This window comes from Homo sapiens, chromosome 11 (genome assembly GCF_000001405.40).
Source record: "Homo sapiens chromosome 11, GRCh38.p14 Primary Assembly".
Taxonomy (NCBI): Eukaryota; Metazoa; Chordata; class Mammalia; order Primates; family Hominidae; genus Homo; species Homo sapiens.
In genome coordinates this window covers 18310975-18331875 of record NC_000011.10, presented here as the reverse complement: position 1 = coordinate 18331875, position 20901 = coordinate 18310975, and the positions used below count along the sequence as shown (strand labels likewise).

General features: G+C 42.1%; 2 protein-coding genes across 44 annotated transcripts in view, besides 5 other annotated features; one reads left to right on the top strand and one right to left on the bottom strand.

Moving 5' to 3' along the window:
• Positions 1-9309, bottom strand: part of GTF2H1 (general transcription factor IIH subunit 1) — a 44479-nt gene extending 35170 nt beyond the window's left edge. The window contains exons 1-3 of one of the 5 annotated variants that reach the window (XM_024448457.2): positions 9136-9309; positions 7580-7640; positions 5723-5929 (exon numbers count right to left, since the gene is read on the bottom strand). The gene's annotated coding sequence lies outside the window, so the exon portion shown is untranslated. Of the gene's footprint in view, positions 1-914; positions 934-5722; positions 5930-7579; positions 7641-9135 lie in introns of those variants that run through there. The other 4 variants (XM_006718208.4, NM_001142307.2, NM_005316.4 and 1 more) reach the window with 4 other exon arrangements.
• Positions 8952-10151: an enhancer, noted in NCBI's record as "BRD4-independent group 4 enhancer chr11:18343272-18344471 (GRCh37/hg19 assembly coordinates)". NCBI's record gives its function as "activates an origin of replication core promoter dependent on BRD2, P300/CBP, MED14 and CDK7 cofactors, and independent of BRD4, by STARR-seq in HCT116 cells {active_cell/tissue: HCT116}" and the evidence as "EXISTENCE:reporter gene assay evidence [ECO:0000049][PMID:35650434]".
• Positions 8952-10238: a biological region, named in NCBI's record as "BRD4-independent group 4 enhancer GRCh37_chr11:18343272-18344471".
• Positions 9289-10238: an enhancer, noted in NCBI's record as "H3K27ac hESC enhancer chr11:18343185-18344134 (GRCh37/hg19 assembly coordinates)". NCBI's record gives its function as "activates a minimal SCP1, AML or CMV promoter by ChIP-STARR-seq in primed H9 embryonic stem cells {active_cell/tissue: H9 hESC(primed)}" and the evidence as "EXISTENCE:reporter gene assay evidence [ECO:0000049][PMID:30033119]".
• Positions 9332-9751: an enhancer, noted in NCBI's record as "active region_4497". NCBI's record gives its function as "activates an Ori minimal core promoter by ATAC-STARR-seq in GM12878 lymphoblastoid cells {active_cell/tissue: GM12878}" and the evidence as "EXISTENCE:reporter gene assay evidence [ECO:0000049][PMID:35858748]".
• The window catches only part of HPS5 (HPS5 biogenesis of lysosomal organelles complex 2 subunit 2), a 43505-nt gene continuing 32305 nt past the window's right edge, over positions 9702-20901 (top strand). For 10 of the 39 annotated variants that reach the window (NM_001440919.1, NM_001440916.1, NM_181507.2 and 7 more), the window contains exons 1-4: positions 9736-9930; positions 13969-14125; positions 19852-19962; positions 20425-20489. In NM_001440919.1, coding sequence (NP_001427848.1) covers positions 14018-14125; positions 19852-19962; positions 20425-20489 — 284 coding nt within the window. In that variant the 5' untranslated portion in view covers positions 9736-9930; positions 13969-14017. Of the gene's footprint in view, positions 9931-13968; positions 14126-17356; positions 17473-19851; positions 19963-20424; positions 20490-20901 lie in introns of all 39 variants that reach the window. The other 29 variants (NM_001440927.1, NM_001440930.1, NM_007216.4 and 26 more) reach the window with 17 other exon arrangements.
• Positions 9762-10061: an enhancer, noted in NCBI's record as "active region_4496". NCBI's record gives its function as "activates an Ori minimal core promoter by ATAC-STARR-seq in GM12878 lymphoblastoid cells {active_cell/tissue: GM12878}" and the evidence as "EXISTENCE:reporter gene assay evidence [ECO:0000049][PMID:35858748]".

Below are 20901 nucleotides of genomic sequence, written 5' to 3'. Positions count from 1 at the left end.
AAACAAATAAAATGGGAACAATGAAATACTGGATCTGCCATTAGTTCTCCAAAATAATTGAGAACTTCTATTTGAACATAATGGGAAAATAAGTATTAGGAAGGGGAGTACGGCAGGGATTAAAAACAATAGAAATCAGAAATTCTTGTAATAAAGTTACAAAAAAAAAACCCCCAAAAAACTACTTAAACCATCACCTCTTTTTTTTTGAGACGGAGTTTCACTTTTGTTGCCCAGGCTGGAATGCAATGGTGTGATCTCAGCTCACCACAACCTTCGCCTCCTGGGTTCAAGTGATTCTCCTGCCTCAGCCTCCCGAGCAGCTGGGATTACAGGCATGTGCCACCACGCCTGGCTATTTTTGTATTTTTGGTAGAGACGGGGTTTCTCCATGTTGGTCAGGCTGGTCTCGAACTCTTGACCTCAGGTGATCCACCCGCCTTGGCCTCCCAAAGTGCTGGGATTACAGGTGTGAGCCACTGCGCCCAGCAAACCAACACCTCTTAAGATTAATAAATATGGCTGGGCACGGTGGCTCCTGTCTATAATCCCAGCACTTTGGGAGGCTGTGGCAGGTGGATCACTTGAGCTCAGGAGCTCGAGACCAGTCTGGGCAACATGGTGAAACCCATTCCCACAAAAAATACAAAAATTAGCCGGGCAAAAGGATGTGCTCCTGCAGTCCCAGCTACTTGGAATGCTGAAGCGGGAGAATCAGGAGAATCGCTTGAGCCCAGGAGGCAGAGGCTGCAGTGAGGTGAGATCGCAACATTGTACTCCAGCCTGGGGATGAAAGTGAAACCCTGCCTCAAAACAAAACAAAACAAACCACTGGATTAAAACAATTATTACTTCTTATTCGCTCAAACAATGAGTTAGAAATAAAAAATACAGGGAAAAAAGTGAAACCTTACTTTCTCTGAAGTTGATTATCTCAAGTATGAGTAGTCAGATACCCCTTTTATAGGTCTTTACAGGCTATTCTATCCCGAGAACAGAAAGGAAATAGGTCAATGTGAATACATTTATCCAACAAATCTGTACTGAGCCAAGGAGCCTGGGGACTATCCAAAGATGAACGTCTGTTGATTTCTGCTTTCAAAGATCTTCCAGGGCAGTGAGCAAGTGTGTATATGTGTGCTATTTGTTAGTGTATACTAATTAGAATGTGTGTAGACTCCTAATTAGGGAAAAGGAGTCAGGCTGGTGGGAGCAGGGGAAAGCAAAAAGAAAAAGCAGATAAGCTACAAGTCAGCCTTTCTTCATGGTCCAGGACACATAGCCCTCCCGTGCAAATAATTCACAATCTTCCTGTGCCCCACTTATCACCAGAACCTCAGCGGATAGAAAAATGCAAGTTAGCTCACTGCAGCCTTGGTGTTAGCAGTACTTCATGTAGCCCTCTTCAACAAAAGTACAATCCTATAAAATCCCCTGGAAGCTTTTGTCTCCTTGCAGTCAGCTCTCCGCTTGCTAATCTGCACGTTGCTTTCTTGCAACATATTTTCCTACTTTCTCTAACAAATCTGCCTTTCTTTACCTACAACTGTCTTGGTGAATTCTTTTTATTACTGGTGCCACCAGCTTCAGACAGTTGCTACCCACGACATGAAGTCCCAAAAGGGACACAAAAATGTTCCAAGTTAGGACTCAAGAGGCAGTTTCTTCACTCAGAAAGCCATGAGAAATGTTTGCCACAGAATTTTTAAAAAGCCATTTTAAAAAACTAAGATATAATTAACAAACCAACAAATACATAGGTCTTAGGCATTCTGTTCGATGCGTTTTGACTATAGTACACACCCATTTACAGTTACCCAAAATGAGAGACAGAACATTTCAGTCACCCTTGAACATTCCCTCATGTTTCCTTCAGGTCAATCTCTTTTCCCCAACCTCTAGCAACTACTCTGATTTCTATCACCACAGATTAGTTTTTATCTGTTCTAGGATTTCATATGAAAGGAATCATACAGTATGTACTCCTTTTGTCTCTAGTTTTTTGCTTAACATGTTTTTTGAAATCCACCATATTGTTGTATATGTATCAGTTCATTCTGTTTAATACATAGTTTGGTTATAAATTGGGTCTTGAAGAGACGACTTCTACAGAGAAAGTAAAGGGAAACAGGTGTCAGAGGCAAAGGAAATAGTTTGGGGCAGTGGACTGAAACTCTCTAGGAATGAGTAATCTGCTTAGGATATAGCATAAGGTTCATGAGATCAGTAGGATATGAGGTTGGATGGTTAAGATGGAGGCATATAGTGGAGAAGGCCACCCCATGTGGCAAACAACAGAAAACTTCTGAAGACTTTTGAATAGGGGAGTGATTTGTATTTTAGAAATTAATCTGTGAGCAGCAGGAGAGACTGGAGAGGAAGGGACAAGGAGGACCACTGAAGCAGCAGAATGAACAGACATTGTTAAAGTGCTGAAGGAAGCGTCATGGTTGCTTGCCCATACCCCATTTCTGAGCCTTACTGACATGAGCACAGTGGTACCATTTTCAGAAATTAATGAGAAGGAAGAGCAGATTTGAAAGTGAAGATAAGGAATTCAGTTCCGGACATGATGAATGTGAGGTACTGCTGAGTCATGCAGGTGGAGATAGTCTGCATTATGTAGGCATTTGCAAACGCTGGAATAAAGCCCGATTAGATGACTGCTTTTAATTAAAAAGGGATTTAAAAAATTCCATGTCACAACCCTAACATCAATTTTCCTCATTTTTAATTGTGCTTACCTTATCTGTACCCACCTTACAAATGTAATCATAAAATACATTCAAGTCCATTATTTTGTGATTTTTACTCACCACTGAGAATTTGTTTTCTTACAATCCCATTTTGATATCCATATATCAAATATGATAAAGGATCACAATTCTTAATAAACGATACCACCTTTTAACTGACTTATTTGATGTCTTAAGACTTTGAGAGTTTTCCCTTCTTGAAGTTTAAAAAACTGTTTTAAGACTATTTAATGACATGAAAAGATACACAGAAAAAAAAGGCATGTAGTTTGATTCCATATTCTTTTTTTTTTTTTGAGATGGAGTCTCACTGTCACCCAGGCAGGAGTGCGGTGGCGCGATCTCGGCTCACTGCAACCTCCGCCTCCCGGGTTCAAGCGATTCTCCTGCCTCAGCCTCCAGAGTAGCCGGGACTACAGGCATGTGCCACCATGCCTGGCTAATTTTTTGTATTTTTAGTAGAGATGGAGTTTCGCCGTGTTAGCCAGGCTGGTCTTGAACTCCTGGACGCAAGTGATCCGCCCGCCTCAGCCTCCCAAAGTGCTGGGATTACAGGTGTGAGCCACCATGCCTGGCATGATTCCATAAAATTTTTTTTTTTTTTTTTGAGATGGAGTCTTGCTCTGTCACCCAGGCTGGAGTGCAGTGGCGTGATCTTGGCTCACTGCAACCTCCTCCTCCCAGTTCCAGGAAACTCTCCCTGCCTCAGCCCCCCAAGTAGCTGGGATTACAGGTTCCTGCCACCACGCCCGGCTAATTTTTGTATTTTTTAGTAGAGACGGGGTTTCGCCATGTTGGCCAAGCTGGTCTTGTACTCCTGACCTCAGGTGATCCACCTGCCTCGGCCTCCCAAAGTGCTGGGATTACAGGCGTTAGCCACAGTGCCTGGCCCCATATTCTTTTTTTTTTTTTTTTTTGAGATGGAGTCTCCCTCTGTCACCCAGGCTGGAGTGCAGTGGCCCGATCTTGGCTTACTGCAACCTCCGCCTCCCCAGTTCAAGTGATTCTCCTGCCTCAGCCTCCTCAGTAACTAGGGGTTAGAGGCACATGCCACCATGGCTGGCTAATTTTTGTATGTTTAGTAGAGATGGGGTTTCACCATGTTATCAGGCTGCTCTCGAACTGACCTAGTGATCCCCCGCCTCAGTCTCCCAAAGTGCTGCGATTACAGGCGTGAGCCACTACACCCGGCCTGCCCCATATTCTTAAATTTAAAAAAATCTAAAATTTAGGCTGGGCAGGGTGGCTCACGTCTATAATCTCATCACTTTAGGAAGCCGAGGCGGACAGACTGCCTGAGACCAGGAGTTTGCGACCAGCCCGTGCAACATAGCAAAACCCTGTCCCTACAAAAACTATAAAAATTAGCTGGGCCTGGTGGTACACATCTGTAGTCCCAGCAAGTCGGGAGGCTGAAATGAGAGGATTACCTGAGTCCAGGGAGATGGAGCCGTGATGATACCACTGCACTCCAGTCTGGGTGACAGAGTATTCTCCATCATCTAGAATTTGCTGAATGCTTAATAATGTGTCAGGTTCTGCACTAAGTTTCTTATAGGCATTATCTCAGTCCCCAGTTAATAATCCCATGAGGTAGGTTCTATTATTAGTTACATTTTGTAGATAAGGAAACTGGGTCTGAGAAATCAAGAGGCTTTCTTAAACCATCAGGGAAGTAGCAGAACTGGGTTTGAATCTGGGTCAGTCTGTCTTTGAAATTTCACTATGTTACTCTGAAAATATATGCGAATGAAGGGATAGATACCAAATTTAATAATGATTATCTATGGGTGATAAAAATACAGATGATTTAAATGTTCTCTTTTCTGATCTATAATAATTATGTATTTTATACTAGAGCAGTTATTAAAAAAAAAAGTCTTCCCAAGAGTTTCTTCTCTATCAAACCAAATGTTTATAAAGGTAACCCAGGAAAGTGTTAGGGGTGCTAGTGTGAGAATTTGAAAACAGTGTTTTCTATTTTCAATAGTTTATTTTAACATTCATTTTCTAGTATTCTTTACAATAAACATATAACTATGCAATTCTTCTGCCAGAACCTCCCAAGTAGCTGGGATTATAGGCATCTGCCACCACGCCCAGCTAATTTTTCTATTTTTTTTTTAGTAGAGATGAGGTTTTGAGGCAGGTGGATCACTTGAGGTTGGGAGTTAGAGAACATATTTTAAAAAGCCCACTCTGTAGAATATGAAACTGGACTGCAAACCATACAAATTAGGAAACATATGTTTTAAGAAAAATGAATTAAAATCTAAGAAAGATGAGGGGAGGATCTGACGGGGAAGTTGGCAAATAATTTTAAGTATGTTGATACTTCATTATCCTACTTAAGTAGGATAATTTTAAGTATGTCAGCAGTTGGAAGAAAAGCAGTGAGCAAGGACAGCTGATAGAGCAAGTCTCCAATTAACTGGACTTACAGGCACAAATAAAGTGTTAGTATTGGAAAATAATACAAAGACCTTTATGAGTTGAGAAGGTAAAAAAATGCATGAAGACAGAAACTGCAAAGTGGAGAATACATCATGAGACAGAACTGACTACAGCAACTGGGAAAAACATAACCTTTTTTTTTTTGAGAAGGAGTCTTGTTCTGTCACCCAGGCTGGAGTGCAGTGGCCTCATTTCGGCTTACTGCAACCTCCACCTCCCGGATTCAAGCGATTCCCTTGCCTCAGCCTCCCAAATAGGTGGGATTACAGGCACGCACCACCACACCTCGCTAATTTTTCTACATTTGGTAGAGATGGGGTTTCGCCATGTTGGCCAGGCTGGTCTCAAACTCCTGACCTCGGGTGATCTGCCTGCCTCAGCCTCCCAAAGTGCTGGGATTACAGGCGTGAGCCACCACGCCCAGCCATAACCTCTTATATATAACATATAAAACCATTTATATCAAAATTCATTTATGGGGAAATTTAAAAAATAAATCTGAGATAAATTACCGAACATTGGGCACAAATGGTCAATTGTCTCACAGCTAATTTGCCTGGTAAATTTTCCTGGTCATCTGTAGCACCTCTTAATTGTTCAAGGACCAATTTCAGGAGGTTTAACAGAATCACTGTAGCTATCTTACAATGCCTTCTGTGATTTCCAGGTTTTTCTTGAGTGTATTCCTTGAGTGGCAAACACTTCTTCCCAGGAGAACTCTATAAGAGCCATAGAAATTTATGAAAGTTATTGGTGTAGGCTACATTTAAACAGATCAGGTCAATGAAGATCTCGCTTTACTAAAAGACTATTTACTTATGAAATGGTCTAAGACTTCCTTAAATAGCAAGATCTATATTAAAGGCATTAATTTATTTGCAGTTAAAAATGTATTTGTCCGAATCTAAATTCATATACCTTGCTCTGAGCCTTTGTACATTCTCTTCCTTTCCCATCAACTGGCTAACTTTCACTCATTTTTTTTTTCAGTCTATGTTAAGCTTCAAAGTTACCAGCTAAAGTCTCCTATTATTTTCTTCATGGCACTTACAACAACATAATTTTTAATGTGATTCTTTTAATGTACACGTCTCCTGACAGATTGCAAGCTTCATAAGGGAGGGCAGAGGCCATATATGTCGGGTTCTCTGTAATATAGCACCCAGTAATATAGTGTTTGGCCTATAAGAAGAGTCCAAGAAGTATCAATGACATCATTTAAGATCTTGCTGTTAAAAGAATACAATCTCTTGCTAAGACATAATAAGGAATCTTTGCATATACATCTTTGCCTAAACTCCGGGAACCACTATAGTTTTCAATTCACAGATCAATGTACCATTTCTCATACAGATTCTAATAACTGGATCTTGCTCTTAAAAGGCAACAGTGATAAGGAAGAATATGAACTGGTTGAATACAAATCTTTACATTACTGCACCTCTGCATTTCCATTACCTACATCCCCTTTTCCAATGTGCAAGAGATAAATGGAGGAGAGGAGATAGGGAGCAACAAGTGAAAGAGAAATCTTCTGAAAGAAGGATTACTAGAGAGCACTGTTATATCTGCCAGCATACAAAAATGGAGATTTGGAATGCTGCTTGCCATCAAGCAATCCAAAAGTGTTTGAACAATTCAGCATTAAAGGGAATAACTTTATAAGTATGTAAAGAGTGACCAAAATGTACTGTTTTAAGGATAATTTCACAGACAAGGAAGATATTAAGGAGAATAACTGATGTGGCAATTTTAGGACTGAGCACTTGTACATTTTACAGCAGTGCAGGGAAGAGGCAGGAGGAAAATGCGACAGAGATGCATGACAGAAGAAAATATGCTCATATCCATTAATAAATACTGCATGCTGACAAGAGTATATTACCAAAATTGAGAGAAGAGTAATCAGTTGGTAATCAAAGTGGTGAAAAGAGGAACTACTAGGTCAATGGCTGATACTGCCACACTGAAGGCAGGAAAGAGAAAGGAAGGGCACAAAGACATCTCTATCAGCAGTATGCATAAGGCAGAGATAAATGGTGGCCAAAATGCTAGGAAAGCTCAAGGTATGCCAGACAACATTCTGATGGTAGGGAATAAAATAGCACAGAGAAGCAGGTTATCAGAGGGCAGGACACATGGTACCAGCAGGGAGAAGTTACAAGCCTTGAGGGCAGTACACACAGGAAGCATTCACAACCCAGGACTGGTGCTGGTCGCTGGCTTCACTACTTTTAACTGATTCTTCTCCCACACTGCACCAAGTTTCCTAGTATTTTTCAAAAGCCCTCTCTGAATTTGCTTTGATTTTTTTTCACATTTGTACTGCAATGTGTATTTTATATCACCTAAGAGAGACTCAAACTTACCAATCTGTTGCACTGCTACAAGTCGGCTGAATGGCCTGGTCAACATGGTGAAACCCCGTCTCTACCAAAAATACAAAAATTAGCCAGGCATGGTGGCGTGCGCCTGTGATCCCAGCCGCTGGGGAGGCTGAGGCAGGAGAAGCCCTTGAACCCGGTAGATGGAGGTTGCAGTGAGCAGAGATCGCGCCATTGCACTCCAGCCTGGGCAACAAGAGCAAAACTCCGTCTCAAAAAAAAAAAAAAATGTCGGCTGAGTGAGGATAGCAGACCATCTCTTTTTTCTCCTTTCTGAATGAGGGACTTAAGCCTGCTAACAGGTACAAAGTTCTCTCCAGAGTTTAGTCCTTCTCTAAGTCCAAGGCCTGCTACTAGAGGTTACCTTCCCTGCGGTTGTGACCTCTCCATCTCAACTGCTCTGGTTTTGTCTTTTAAAAAATCTTAAGGTTGGCAACTTTGGCTTAATTACCTAAGTCCAGTTCAGTGGTTTTCAAACTGTGTTCCAAGGAGTGGCCTCTAGGATAGAAGTTAAGTGGGGTGGTGGGGCCTGGCCCTTTTAAATTTAGTTCCACCAGAGCATGCTGCTTTATATATTGGGTTCCAGATAAAAATTCATGGGGAGAAATTGTTCCACTCCTTTAAAATGTTTGAAAATCACAAGTCTGGATATTGGTTTGTATGGAGTCAATACTCACTGCAAAGCACATTTCATTCAAACCACTCAGTTTTTTTTTTGTTTTTGTTTTTAAGACTGGGTCTTCAAATGGACAAAGGGTGTATTTTTCATATCTTCTTTCCCCATCCCCATTTTACTGATGCTAAAATTGGAGTTTAGGAGTCATTTGGGGCCAGGCACTGTAGCATAATTCTGGCGCTTTGGGAGGTCTAGGCAGGAGAATCGCTTGAGCCCAGGAATTCGAGGTTACAGTGAGCTATTATCACGCCACTGCATTCCAGCCAGGACGACAGAACAAGACTCTGTCTCTTAAAAAAAAATAAGAAAAGTCACCTCCTTATTTAATTTGGCCTTTGAGAACACTGGGGGATTTACAAAATAATTACATATATCCAGGTACTCATGGTCTATTTTTCATCATTACACGACAATCAAATGACCAAAACTAGGAGTGTGTGGACTGGCACGTGTTAAGGTTTTTAAGAGAGGTAAGATTGACAGGTGGAAGCAAAAGGTGTGCAGACAACAAGGTGACAGCTTTTCTCTTACAGAATCCCAGACTCAACAGCACATTTCCTGACGGGAAGGGCTTCTCTGTCTGGGAGAGGCCTCCACTTCATTCTCATAAGCCAAATCTGATCCTGGCTTTGGGTAAACCTGCTCTCAATTTAAGAGCAGGTTTCCTTTAGACAAGTAGATTAGGGGTCGCCTCTTCCTCGCCTCGGGATAAGGGCAAACAAGACGCCAGGCTTGGGCGTTGGGAGGACGGCGACAGCGACGCTGGGAACAGGGGTAGAATCCACGCCGTCCAGCGGCCCCCAGGCCTGTCAGCTCCTCACCCGCCCACCCACCCGCCCGCCTGCATTCTTCGGTCTAAACTTACCAGGTGGAAGCTACAACTCTAGACAGGAAGTAACTAACTGGGTTGGATCCGGTCGAGTTCCGCTGCGCTTCTTAGAGCCGCTGCTGGGAAGAGGCCGAAACCCAGTGGCCGCAGCAGTAGCCACCGCCTCTGTTACTAGGGGGTCTCGCCTCCATCGCTGGCTGCGAGGAGTCTGAGGGCACGTGACCGGAAGTAGCAAGGCGGGCCCTGGGCACGTGACTCAAGAGCGCGGCCGCCATGACACCTTCCGCTAGTTCCCTCCCTCCCCCACGGGTTCCCGCCTGTTTCGTTTCCTCTCTCCGGTCTCGAGCGGCGAAGGGTCCTGGGATCCTGGCTGGCCCAACCATTTGGCCTAGAGCTCCTCCGGTTCCAGTCGGCGCCGTGTCTCCAGCCCGCAACGGCCCTGCGGTCGCAGGCCGTAGAGAGCGTAATCGCGACCGCGGCCTGAGGGGGAGGGACCACGCGGAAGGAGGGGCGTGACTCGTCACGTGATGAGGAAGTGCCGTTAGTAGCGTTGTTTCCAGTCTGCGGCTCTCCTGGATGACGTCAGCAAGGAAGGGGAGGAACGCGAGGGGAGACTGAAGTTCACGTTCCGCTCTTAGTGCGCGGTGAGTTCCCCGGCGCTAAGCCGGGAGACAAGATCCGATCTACTGAGAGCTGCGAGGTACTGCCCTGGATGTGGTGGAGCTGGGCTGGGACCTCCGGGCTGCTGGTCTGTGAGCCTGGCTTTGAAAATTGGTTACTGGGTCTCCTCTCAAGAAATCTCAAGATATTAAAGTTACTGCTGTTAAAAAGGTAGTAGTTCCACTAGGCAAGGAGCTTTTTGTGGGTAGGGATTGTGTTTTGTTCATCCCTGTGTCTCTAGCGGTGTGTTCAGGTCCTGGAACATAGTAGGCACTCAGAATGTTGAATGAATGAATGTATAAATGAGTCAGTCGCCATTTGTCTGAGGCAGAGAGTTGTTTTCTGATCATTTCTTCTTGGATAGAAAGATCCCATTGTGAAAATGAGGCAGTCTGCAACTTCCCCTTCTCATTTCTTCAATTTTTGCTATCTTTCTTACTTCTTTCTCCTCTTCCTCCACGCACCTACTGGGGCAAAAGAGAAACATGTTTGCATTTGATGTGTGAGCAACAAACACTGAACTATTTTACGATAATGGAAAGATGAGATTTGGATTCAGGAGACGCGTATTCTAATCTCAGCTCTACCATTTATGAACTCTGTGATCCTTGGGCAAGCCAGTCTCCCAAAAGTTGTTTCATTTACTTTGGTTAAGCATTTGTCGCCAACTTCTATGTTCTTAGTTTTTGGTAGAGTGCCTTCACAGAAGTAACATTTAAACTCAGCTTTGCAGAAAGGTAGGGTTTTGGTAAATGGGGGAAGATTCCATAAACATCATATATTAAACCATGGAGGCACAGCAAGTTTATGGAATGAAAAAGAAAAAAAGAGTCGAGTCCAATGTAGTTGGAGAATAGAGAGGTTAAGATGGGAAATAAGGCTGGAAAAAGAAGCAGGGAGGAGATAACAGATTTTCAAGAAATAGAGCTGTTGAAGGCTTGTACAATATTATGTATATATTTTTTAAATTTTATTGTGGAAAATTTCAAACGCAGACAAAAGTAGGATAATAAATTGAACCCTCATGTACACTTAACGCAACTTGAACAATTATCAGCATTCTGCTGTTCCTCTTTATACTGTTTGTACATTTCTAGGTACTTTTTATATCCATTGTTGCATTTGATTAATAGCAGCTTTCAATTTGAGCTCAGTTCTACTGTATGTAGCTACTGGCTAAGAAGATTTTATTTATGTAAACAATTTCTTTGGGTTTTAGTTGACCACTTGCTCTGTTGAATCAATGTGTAACATGGCCACTTAAACACAACTAATACTGTTTTTAGGTTGTAATATAGAAACTTAGTGTCTAGATCCAGGAAGTTAGTGTTTCTACTCTATTCTGGGCTCATCTAACTACTTAAGGAGTATTATGCTCAGTTCTAGGCACCTCATTTTTAGGCAAACTACAGTGCCTCTGTAGAAGGTTGACTGGAACAGAGGGTTGGAAAATGTCATGTCAGGAGTGATGAAGAAACTGGGAATGTTAAATTTTTAGAAGACCTGATAATGCTTTTCAAATACAGAAGGATTGTTTTGGAAAGAGACAGCTTGTTCCCTTCAGCTGTAGAAGCTACATACAATTAGGAATAATGGTAGAGCTCTAAGTGATCAGGCTTCAGCATAGTATTAAAAAGAACCTTATAATAGTGAGCCCTTTGGAGGACTGGAATTGGCAGCTTCATGAGAGTGAGTGCTTTCTTTCCATGGCTGAAAATGTTCAGGGATCTAGGGCAAAACTAATTTCTGAATTAGGTGGACATGTTCACTGAATTACCTATGAATCTTTTTCCATCTTGAGAATTCTAGGAAGTAGGGCTCATGTGCGATCTTGAAAGCTGGGTATGTTTGGATAAGAAAATCTGGAAGGGAAGCAGTCATTTCAGGGAGAGTAAACATAAAGTATAAAGTTGAAGTTGGTTTAACACTGTCATTCAGCAGCTTCTCTGAGAATTGGCATTGCTTATGCTGTTTTTATTTTCCATTCTCATTTCTGTTAAATTCTTTTTTTCTTTTCAGTAGAACTTACTAGGTGTGTCCCCCTGCACACCCCCGCATTATATTATAACTTCCAGGACATTCTCTTTTTACCGAGATTAAGGCAAAATGACCTACTCAGAGTTTCTTTGTTTCAAGATCACAAGTAGAAGAGACACTATGATATTATCATTCCTTTCCATCTCTTGGATCCTGTACCATGGTTTTATCTTTTTCTTGAATCTTCAGTCCCTTTCGTTCTAGACTCTACTTTTAGCTACTACCTACAAATCTGTTGAAGAGTCTCCCCAATAATAACGTCAAGAGAGGTTTTCTCCTTTTCCACCAGACTTCTTGAGTAATTGAAATGTTTTATCCTCATTTTCATATCACCCACCCGTTTTCTCAAGTCTTTGTTTTCTAGCATCTAACCACCCACAGCACTTTACAGAAATTGTGTGACCTCCCAACACACAATTCTTCAATTCCTTTCTGTTGCCTGCCAAGTTAAGTTCAGGTTCTTTGGTTTGAAATTCAAAGTGTTTTGTAACTTGGGCCCAAATTAAGATTCCAGCTTTATCTTTCATTATTCCGTTGCTTGTATCCTGTTTCAACCAAAGACTAAATTTGTATTCTTCTAGTATATTCTGCATTTTTTTCTTCTCTATATATTTGCTTATTGCTACCCTACCTGCTACCCTTTCCCTTTTCCTTGAGATAAAAGCCTAGTCAGCATCAGTACTACTTTCCTTAGAGCGTTTTCTTCAGTTCCCTTTAATTCAATGTGATCCCTCTGTCCTGTAAAGTTCTAACAAAGCAGTTTGCTTATGTTTCCCTTATAAGATGTGTGTGTGTGTGTGTGTGTGTGTGTGTGTGTGTGTGTGGTATTTGTCTTTTCCTCCGTATTATAAACTGACTGACTTCTGGAATTATTTTACTTGTCTTATTTTTACCACTGTGCCTGGTACTTTACTAGGTACTCAATGAAATGAATGAGTGAAAACAATGAGGGAAGATTTTCTTAGGTCAATAATTCTCAAATATTTTGAGTACAGGCATGTGAAAGTTTCTTTCTGGGTTTTTTCTTTTTTTTTTTCCTGAACATTCTCCTTGCAGAGGTCAAGGTGTATTAGGAACAGTGTTACTAGCAGAAAATAAGATTGTGTTATGTGTGTGCAATAAAAAATATAGTCTTCGTTTTGCCACTAGAAAGTATGCTCTATGAGGGTTAGAACTTTATCATCTCCAGGACCTAGAATAATGTCTGGCACGTAGGTGGGTGCTCAGTACAAATTTGTTGAATAAATGAGTGATGGAATATATATGTTTCTGGAAAAAAAGTCAAAAACGTAAAGCATGAACAAACAACAAGAATGTATAAACAGTTCATGACTTTTTCTGTTGTATTCATTGGCTTTCTAAATTTGGCAGGTAACAAGTGATTGAGAAAAGTTATAATTAATGAGTAGAATTTTCTTTTCTTTTTTTCTGGAGATTGGTGCAAGTTGACAAAAAAGTGCATTTGAGAGTAGGTGAACACATAAAAACTTTCGTGTTACTTTACAAAGTCCTCACTGGTTATTTGGCATTTGTTACCTTGTATTCTTATCCGTATTCTGTCCTATCTAGTCTCTTTTGTTGAAGCGCTTATTTTTCTTTGTGCTCTAATTCCCTGTACCTTCTCACTTAGTAGATCTGTTCATTCATTCACCATACTTACTAAGCCCCTGCTCGGTTGAAGAGAGAAGTCTAGTGGCCTATTCCTATAAACCACTGTTAAATTGTTAGCTGATAACTGTAGGGTTTGCTGATAACAGTTAATAAGTTGAGGCCTTTACAGAAGATTGCGTTTTAATGAGAGACTCCTAAAGACAGAAGATTTAGTATTCATAGAAATGCAGCAGCAAGGTTGCTGTTTTAACTCAGGGTGATATGCCAATTTTCCTAAATCCTACTCTACCTATTCTGTTTACTCACACTGTTAGATAATACAGGGGGATAGGCTTATGGAGGGCCCTGAGAATCCGTACCTGCTACTCTGGGAGTTTTAGAGTCAGGGAATGACACAATGTAAACACACTGTGGCATACGATGTTACCTTATGTGTTTTCTTTCTAAGTCCCTGTATAGTGGGGACTTTCTCATGTTTCTCTATGTTCCCCACATATTTGTTAAATGCATGTTAAATGAATGGTGGGCTTCTTAAATTATATTTTTGTGGATTTTATTCAGGTGAGGAATACTGTATCTATCATTCAACAAGTTTCAGCTTTCTGGCTAAATGGCTTTTGTGCCAGTGATACCAGAGTCCTACAGCCATGTTCTTGCAGAGTTTGAATCTCTGGATCCATTACTCTCAGCCCTGCGGCTGGACTCCAGTCGTCTAAAGGTGAATTTCTTGATCCTTGTATCAGTTTCATTTTCACGTGCTCTCTGTTACTGTGCCCCTACCCTCCAGTTCCTTAACGTTTTGTGGAATCTTGGGTGTTCTTACCTGTCCTAGTCATACTTTTGTGGGGGAAAAAAAAGAAGAAAATAAACTTTTTATCTGAGGAGTGTGAGCCCCTTTAAATTATCAGGCCCAGGCTGGGCGTGGTGGCTCACACCTGTAATTCCAGCACTTTGGGAGGCTGAGGTGGGTGGATCACTTGAGGCAAGGAGTTCAAGACCAGCCTGGCCAACATGGTGAAACTTTGTCTCTACTAAAAATACAAAAATTAGCCGGGCAAGGTGGCACGCGCCTGTAATCCCAGGTACTCGGGAGGCTGAGGCACGAGAATCACTTGAACCCGGGAGGTGGAGGTTGCAGTGAGTCGAGGTCATGCCACTGCACTGTAGCCTGGGCAACAGAGTAAGACTCTCTCAAAAAAAAAAAAAAAAAATTTATCAGGCCCGGAGAAGCATTGGAATGAAACAGTAGTCTCTTATCACTCTTTTTTTTTTTTTGAGACGGAGTCTCGCTCTGTTGCCCAGGCTGGAGTACAGTGGTGTGATCTCAGCTCACTGCATGCTCCGCCTCCCGGGTTCACACCGTTTTCCTGCCTCAGCCTCCCAAGTAGCTGGGACCACATGTGCCCGCCACCACGTCTGGCTAATTTTTTGTATTTTTAGTAGAGACGGGGTTTCACCATGTTAGCCAGGATGGTCTCGATCTCCTGACCTCGTGATCTGCCCGCCTCGGCCTCCCAAAGTGCTGGGATTACAGGTTTTATCACTTTTGTTTGAGCTAATTAATTACCTCTTGAAGCTACTTGCTATGTGGGCACTAGACTAACTGACACCAAGTAGTGATAAAATGCAGTACACTTCATAGTTCAAAAGTGTATAGCCAATCACTAATCAATGTTATTGCTGTAAGCCAATGAGAATTCCTGACAAACAGCCTCTTCTGAAAACTTGAGTTTCTTGTTTTCCAGAGCATTCCCCAAGGCAACTTGGAAGTTTGTCCTAGGCTGCATCCTCAACCTTGGCCCAAATAAAGTCAATGTTAATTTGGCCTCAACTTCTTCCTTTTAGGTTGACACTTTACATAGAGGTATAATTTTCATAGCTCTTTCTTGATTTATTTTTTGAGCTATCTTTTGAATTCTAATTTACCATCCCTGGAAACCATGATACTGACTTGCTTCATTTTTCCCCGTTAGTGTTCTTGCTGTCTTCTCTCAGAAAGTAATATATTTGATTGAAAATAAAATGGTATAAATGAGTATATCTCACAAAGACCAAGAGAAAACTGTCTCTTCATCTTCTGAAGGTTTGCTAAAAATCAGCTACTAAAAATAAGATTAATAGGAGAAAAGGCATATAAAATCTTATTTTCTTTTCTTTCTTTTTTTTTTCTTCTTTTGAAACAGGTTGTCTCTGTTGCTCAGGCCTAAGTGCAATGGGGAGATCCTAGCTCACTGTAACCTCAAACTCCTGGGTTCAAGTAATTCTCTTGCCTCATCCTCCTGAGCAGCTGGGACTAAACATACTCGATACCATGCCAGGCTAATTTTTAAAGTTTTTGTAGAGATGGGGTCTTGCTATGTTGCCCAGGCTGGAGTACAGTGGTGAGACCATAGCTCATGATAACATCGAACTCCTGGCCTCAAGCAATCATGTGCCTTGGCCTTTGGCTTCCCTAAAGCACTGGGATAACAGGAGGGAGCCACCATGCCTGGCTGTGTGTACCCTCTTTCATAGGGAAGTGGGGATATGGAGAATGTAGATGATTGTTTTGAGTGGCAATAAATCATTATGGAGAATGAATAGACCTAGCAAGTGGGAGGCAGACATGGGAAGGTGAGGGATGGAGCTGCATAGGAACAATCTGACTTATGCAGGTAAAATCCCCCAGATAAACTCTTGGAGCTACCTTCAGAAGAATAAATGAAAAGTCTATCTGGGCATGATGATGACTCCCGGTCTGTTGATTTTTCCTGGTTATTTGATGAGATCCTTAGGGAAAGGGTTTAGGACAATTGCATTTCTTTTGGAAGGAAGCTTTCTTTTTCTTTCTTTCTTTCTTTCTATTTTTTTTTTTTTAAGATAGAGTTTCACTCCCTTGCCTAGGCTGGAGTGCAGTGGCACGATCTTGGCTTACTGCAACCTCCACTTCCTGGGTTCAAGTGAGTCTTGTGCCTCAGCCTCCAGAGTAGCTGGGATTACAGGCACCTGCCACCACGCCCGGCTAATTTTTGTGTTTTTCGTAGAGACAGAGTTTCACCATGTTGGCCAGGCTCGTCCCAAACTCCTAGCCTCAGACAATCCTCTTGCCTCCTCCCAAAGTGCTGGGATTACAGGCATGAGCCATTGAGCCTGGCCCACTTTGGAAAGAAGCTTTCTTGGTCAGATAAGGAAATTCCTCTGGAGAGAGTCCCACTCTGTGCTTGGTGGAGAGGTGGAAACGAGACAAGGTTAAAGGGACTTTGGTTTTGAGGCAGCTTCTAAGAACTGTCAGCATGTCAAAGCTCCCTATTTTGGGGTATTGGTTGCTGAGCCCCAATAACCCCTTTACATTTTGAATAACATGTAGTTATACTAAGGTCATTCCAAAACAGGGAGTCTGGTGTAACCCTCGTTTTAGGGAGAAAAGCAAAAGTTAGTTAGCTCTGGGCAGAATGTCGACCTAAGAGGAAGAAGCTAAGAGGAAGAAGCTGCCCTGGCTTGGTGGCTCATGCCTGTAATCCCAGCAATTTAGGAGGCAGAAGTGGGAGGATTGGTTGAGCTCAGGAGTTTGAGACCGCTTGGGAAATATGGCAAAACCCCATCTTTACAAAAAATACAAAAATCAGCTGGACGTGGTGGTGGGTATCTGTGGTCCCAGCTACTCAGAAGGCTGAGTTGGGAGCATTGCTTGAGCCAGGGAGGTTGAGGCTACAGTGAGCTGTGATAGCTCCACTGCATTCCAGCCTGGGTGACACAGCAAGACCCTATCTCAAAAGGAATAAAAAAACCCAGAAAACAAAACAGACAAAGGCGAAAATAATATAAGCAGACAGTTTATTAGGGCCAAGCTTGAGGATTACAACCTGGGAACATAGATAAAAGTTGCTTTAAATATACACTTTGATTAGCAGCAGTTACAAGTGGATTATTTATTTATTTATTTATTTATTTATTTATTTTTGAGATGTAGTCTTGCTCTGTTGCCCAGGATGGAGTACAGTGGCACCATCTCAGCTCTCTGCAAACTCTGCCTCCCGGGTTCAAGTGATTCTCATGCCTCAGCCACCAGAGAGGCTAGGATTACAGGTGTGTACCATCATGCCTGGCTAATTTTTGAATTTTTAGTGGAGACGGGGTTTTGCCATGTTGGCCAGGCTTGTCTTGAACACCTGGCCTCAAGTAATCCGCCCGCCTCGGCCTCCCAAAGTGCTGGGTGGATTATTTTTTGAGACGGCTGGTCGGGGGAGGGGGGATGCGGTCTTACTATGTTGCCCAAGCTGGAGTGCAGTGGCTATTCACAGGCATCATAGCTGAGTCATAGCACACTGCAGTGCACTGTAGCCTTGAACTGGCGTCAGGCAGTCTTCTTGCCTCAGCCTCTCAAGTAGCTGGGACTACAGGCATGTACCACACCACATGGCCTGCCTAATTTTTATATATTTTTTAGAGATAGGGTTTCATTATGTTGCTGTAGCTGGTCTCAAACTCCTGGGCTCAGTGAGTCCTTCTGCCTTGGCCTCCCAAAGTGCTGGAATTACAGGCATGAGCCACCGCACCCGGCCTTTTTTTTTTTTTTTGAGACGGAGTCTAGCTCTGTCACCAGGCTGGAGTTCAGTGGCGCAATCTTGGCTCACTGCAACCTCCACTTCCTGGGTTCAAGTGATTCTACTGCCTCAGCCTCCCAAGTAGCTGGGATTACAGGCACGCACTGCCACACCCAGCTAATTTTTGTATTTTTAGTAGAGACGGGGTTTCACTTTATTGGCCAGGATGGTCTCGATCTCCTAACCTCGTGATCCGCCCACCTTGGCCTCCCAAAGTGTTGGGATTACAGGCGTGAGCCACTGCGCCTGGCCTGGATTTCTTAAAAATAAAAATGTTTAAATTAGGGCTGGAGTCTTATTCTGTTGCCCAGGCTGGTCTCGACATCCTGACCTCCCAAAATGTTGGGATTATAGGCATGAGCCACCTTGTCCAGCCCAAGTGGATTTTTAAAGGAAAAGAAGAGGCAGATTCTGAGTTGTTTAGCAAAAACTCATATTAAAATAACAAAAACTATTGATTGGCTATACATTGTTCTTTGTATCACAGATTTCAGTGACATGAAGGTAACAGGTGAGACAGCTAGTCAGTGACAAAATTACTTTAAACAATTGCCCCCAGGCGTGGGTGCAGAGAGTGGGTGCATGACTGATATCTCATATTCATTTCTGTCTGGGCCTGCATACTTCACATAGCTCAGACTGCCCTGAGCTATTTTTTTTTTTCCCTCAATAAGTATGTGTTTTGATTGTCCTTGGAATTCAAAGAACTATGTACTTCCTTCAATCTCTGAGTTATTTTGATTAAACTCAGGAATGATGTGGTAAAAAACAAAGTTTCATAACCAGTACCAAAGTAATTTCATTTTTATACTTTTGCTACTGCCCTAAAGGAGATACTAGCATCTGAGGAAAGGGAAAATAGGAAGTGATAGACAGTAATATGAGTAACAATTTTGAGGCTTGATATCAGTTAGACATTTTTTCAGCTGCAAATTACAGTATGGTGTAACATATTAATAGGAGCTTACGTGGTAAAGATGTTTATAATCTCATAGGAGGTTAGTGTTCTGGGTTTAGTGTAGTGGCCCAATGATATAACTGGCTCCCATTTTTCCTGTTCTACCATTGCACATATGTTAGCTTTTAGCTGCTTTTGCAATATGTGTCCTGTCTCCAGTCTTACTGTTCTCATTAACATCTCAAGAAAGTGGGGGCAAAGGGCAAAGGCTTTCTACAGGCTCTGCCTTTCATCTTTCATCAAGGCCTCAGCAGCCTTGGTCTTATTAGCTAGAATTGAGTTACATGACAACCCTTGGCAACTAGGGAACTGGGAAGGTGAATATTTAGGTTTTCCAACTTCTATGGTGAAAAGCAACAAAATTGAAGAAGATTGGGAATGTCTCTTAGTCAATCAACTAATAACTTTTACCACGGGGTATTGGGCACGGCATGACCACTGCATTCTCTGATGGAGTCTCACCTACCCTAAGACTTGTGGATGTTTTGTGGTGTTTGTACAGATTAGAAATGATTTAAATGAACGAATATTTAACCTGGTTGCTTTATCTTCTGGTAACTTCCTTGGTCTTCCATTGTTGTAGTCAGCATTGGAATGACCTAGCCAAATTACACAAAATATGAAGTCTTAACAGCCAGCGTTTGCCAAGGGAAAATTACTCATACAATGGAGCCTATTCAGCCTTTGTGAGATTCATTTAGAAGTTTAAAAACAAAATGTTCTTTCTTCAGTATTTTTTACTATTCTAGAACTAGAGAATAAGTGTCATATTGTGTCCATATGGGCAGAGGGTAAAGTGAGGGAAGGAGCCTGATGCATAAATCCTCAGTATTTATTTTCAGTGGATAGTCTATTTGGTTAAGTAGCTGTGATTATCTCACACTTCTCTTCACATGTTTTTAGTGCACGAGCATAGCTGTGTCTCGGAAATGGTTGGCTTTGGGCAGTTCAGGAGGAGGACTCCATCTCATTCAGAAAGAAGGCTGGAAGCACAGGCTTTTTCTTTCACACAGGGTAAGATTAAGGGCAGCTCTGTCATACACCATTTGGAGTCTCTTTCATAAATGCAAATTTCTCCAATATAAATAATCATTTGGAATAAAAGAATGTAGAACTTGGCTTGGTGCGGTGTCTCACGCCTGTAATCCCAGCATTTTGGGAGGCCAAGGCGGATGGATTACCTGAGGTCAGGAGTTGGAGACCAGCCTGGCCAACATGGTGAAACCCCGTCTCCACTAAAAACACAAAAATTAGCTGGGCGTGGTGGTGAGTGCCTGTAATCCCAGCTACTTGGGAGGCGGAGGCAGGAGAATCGCTTGAACCCAGGAAGTGGAGGTTGCAGTGAGCCGAGATCGCACCATTGCTCCCCAGCCTGGGCAACAGAGCGAGACTCAGTCTCAAAAAAAAAAAAAAAAATAATAATAATAATAATGTAAAACTTGAGATTTAAAAAATGTATTTTCTTTTGTGCTCTAGGAAGGTGCAATTTCTCAAGTCGCCTGTTGTTTACATGATGATGATTATGTTGCTGTAGCTACCAGGTAAGAATCTGTTCCAAAACTATCTGTCCTTTTTCAAATGCATTTTAAATTGACACATGTGTTTGTTAGGGTGACCAACCATCCTGGTTTGCCTAGGATTGTCCCGGTTTTAACAGTGAAACTCCTGTGTCTCAGGAAATCTCTCAGTACCCAGCAAACCAGAATGGACAGCTGGTCATCCTAGTATTTGTAGAAAATGCTAATTTAAGGTTACAACATTTCAAAGGCCTTAAAAGATAAAGGGAACAGAGATAATTTAGATCATTTAACTTCTCCTATTAAACTGGTTTGGTGACTAAAACAAGGAAATTAATACCTTGACTTTTTATAATACTTCCTCTTTTCTGAAGAACAAGAGTTGCATATGTATTTGATATAGTTGATACTGTGATGCAACAAAATTGTACCTTGT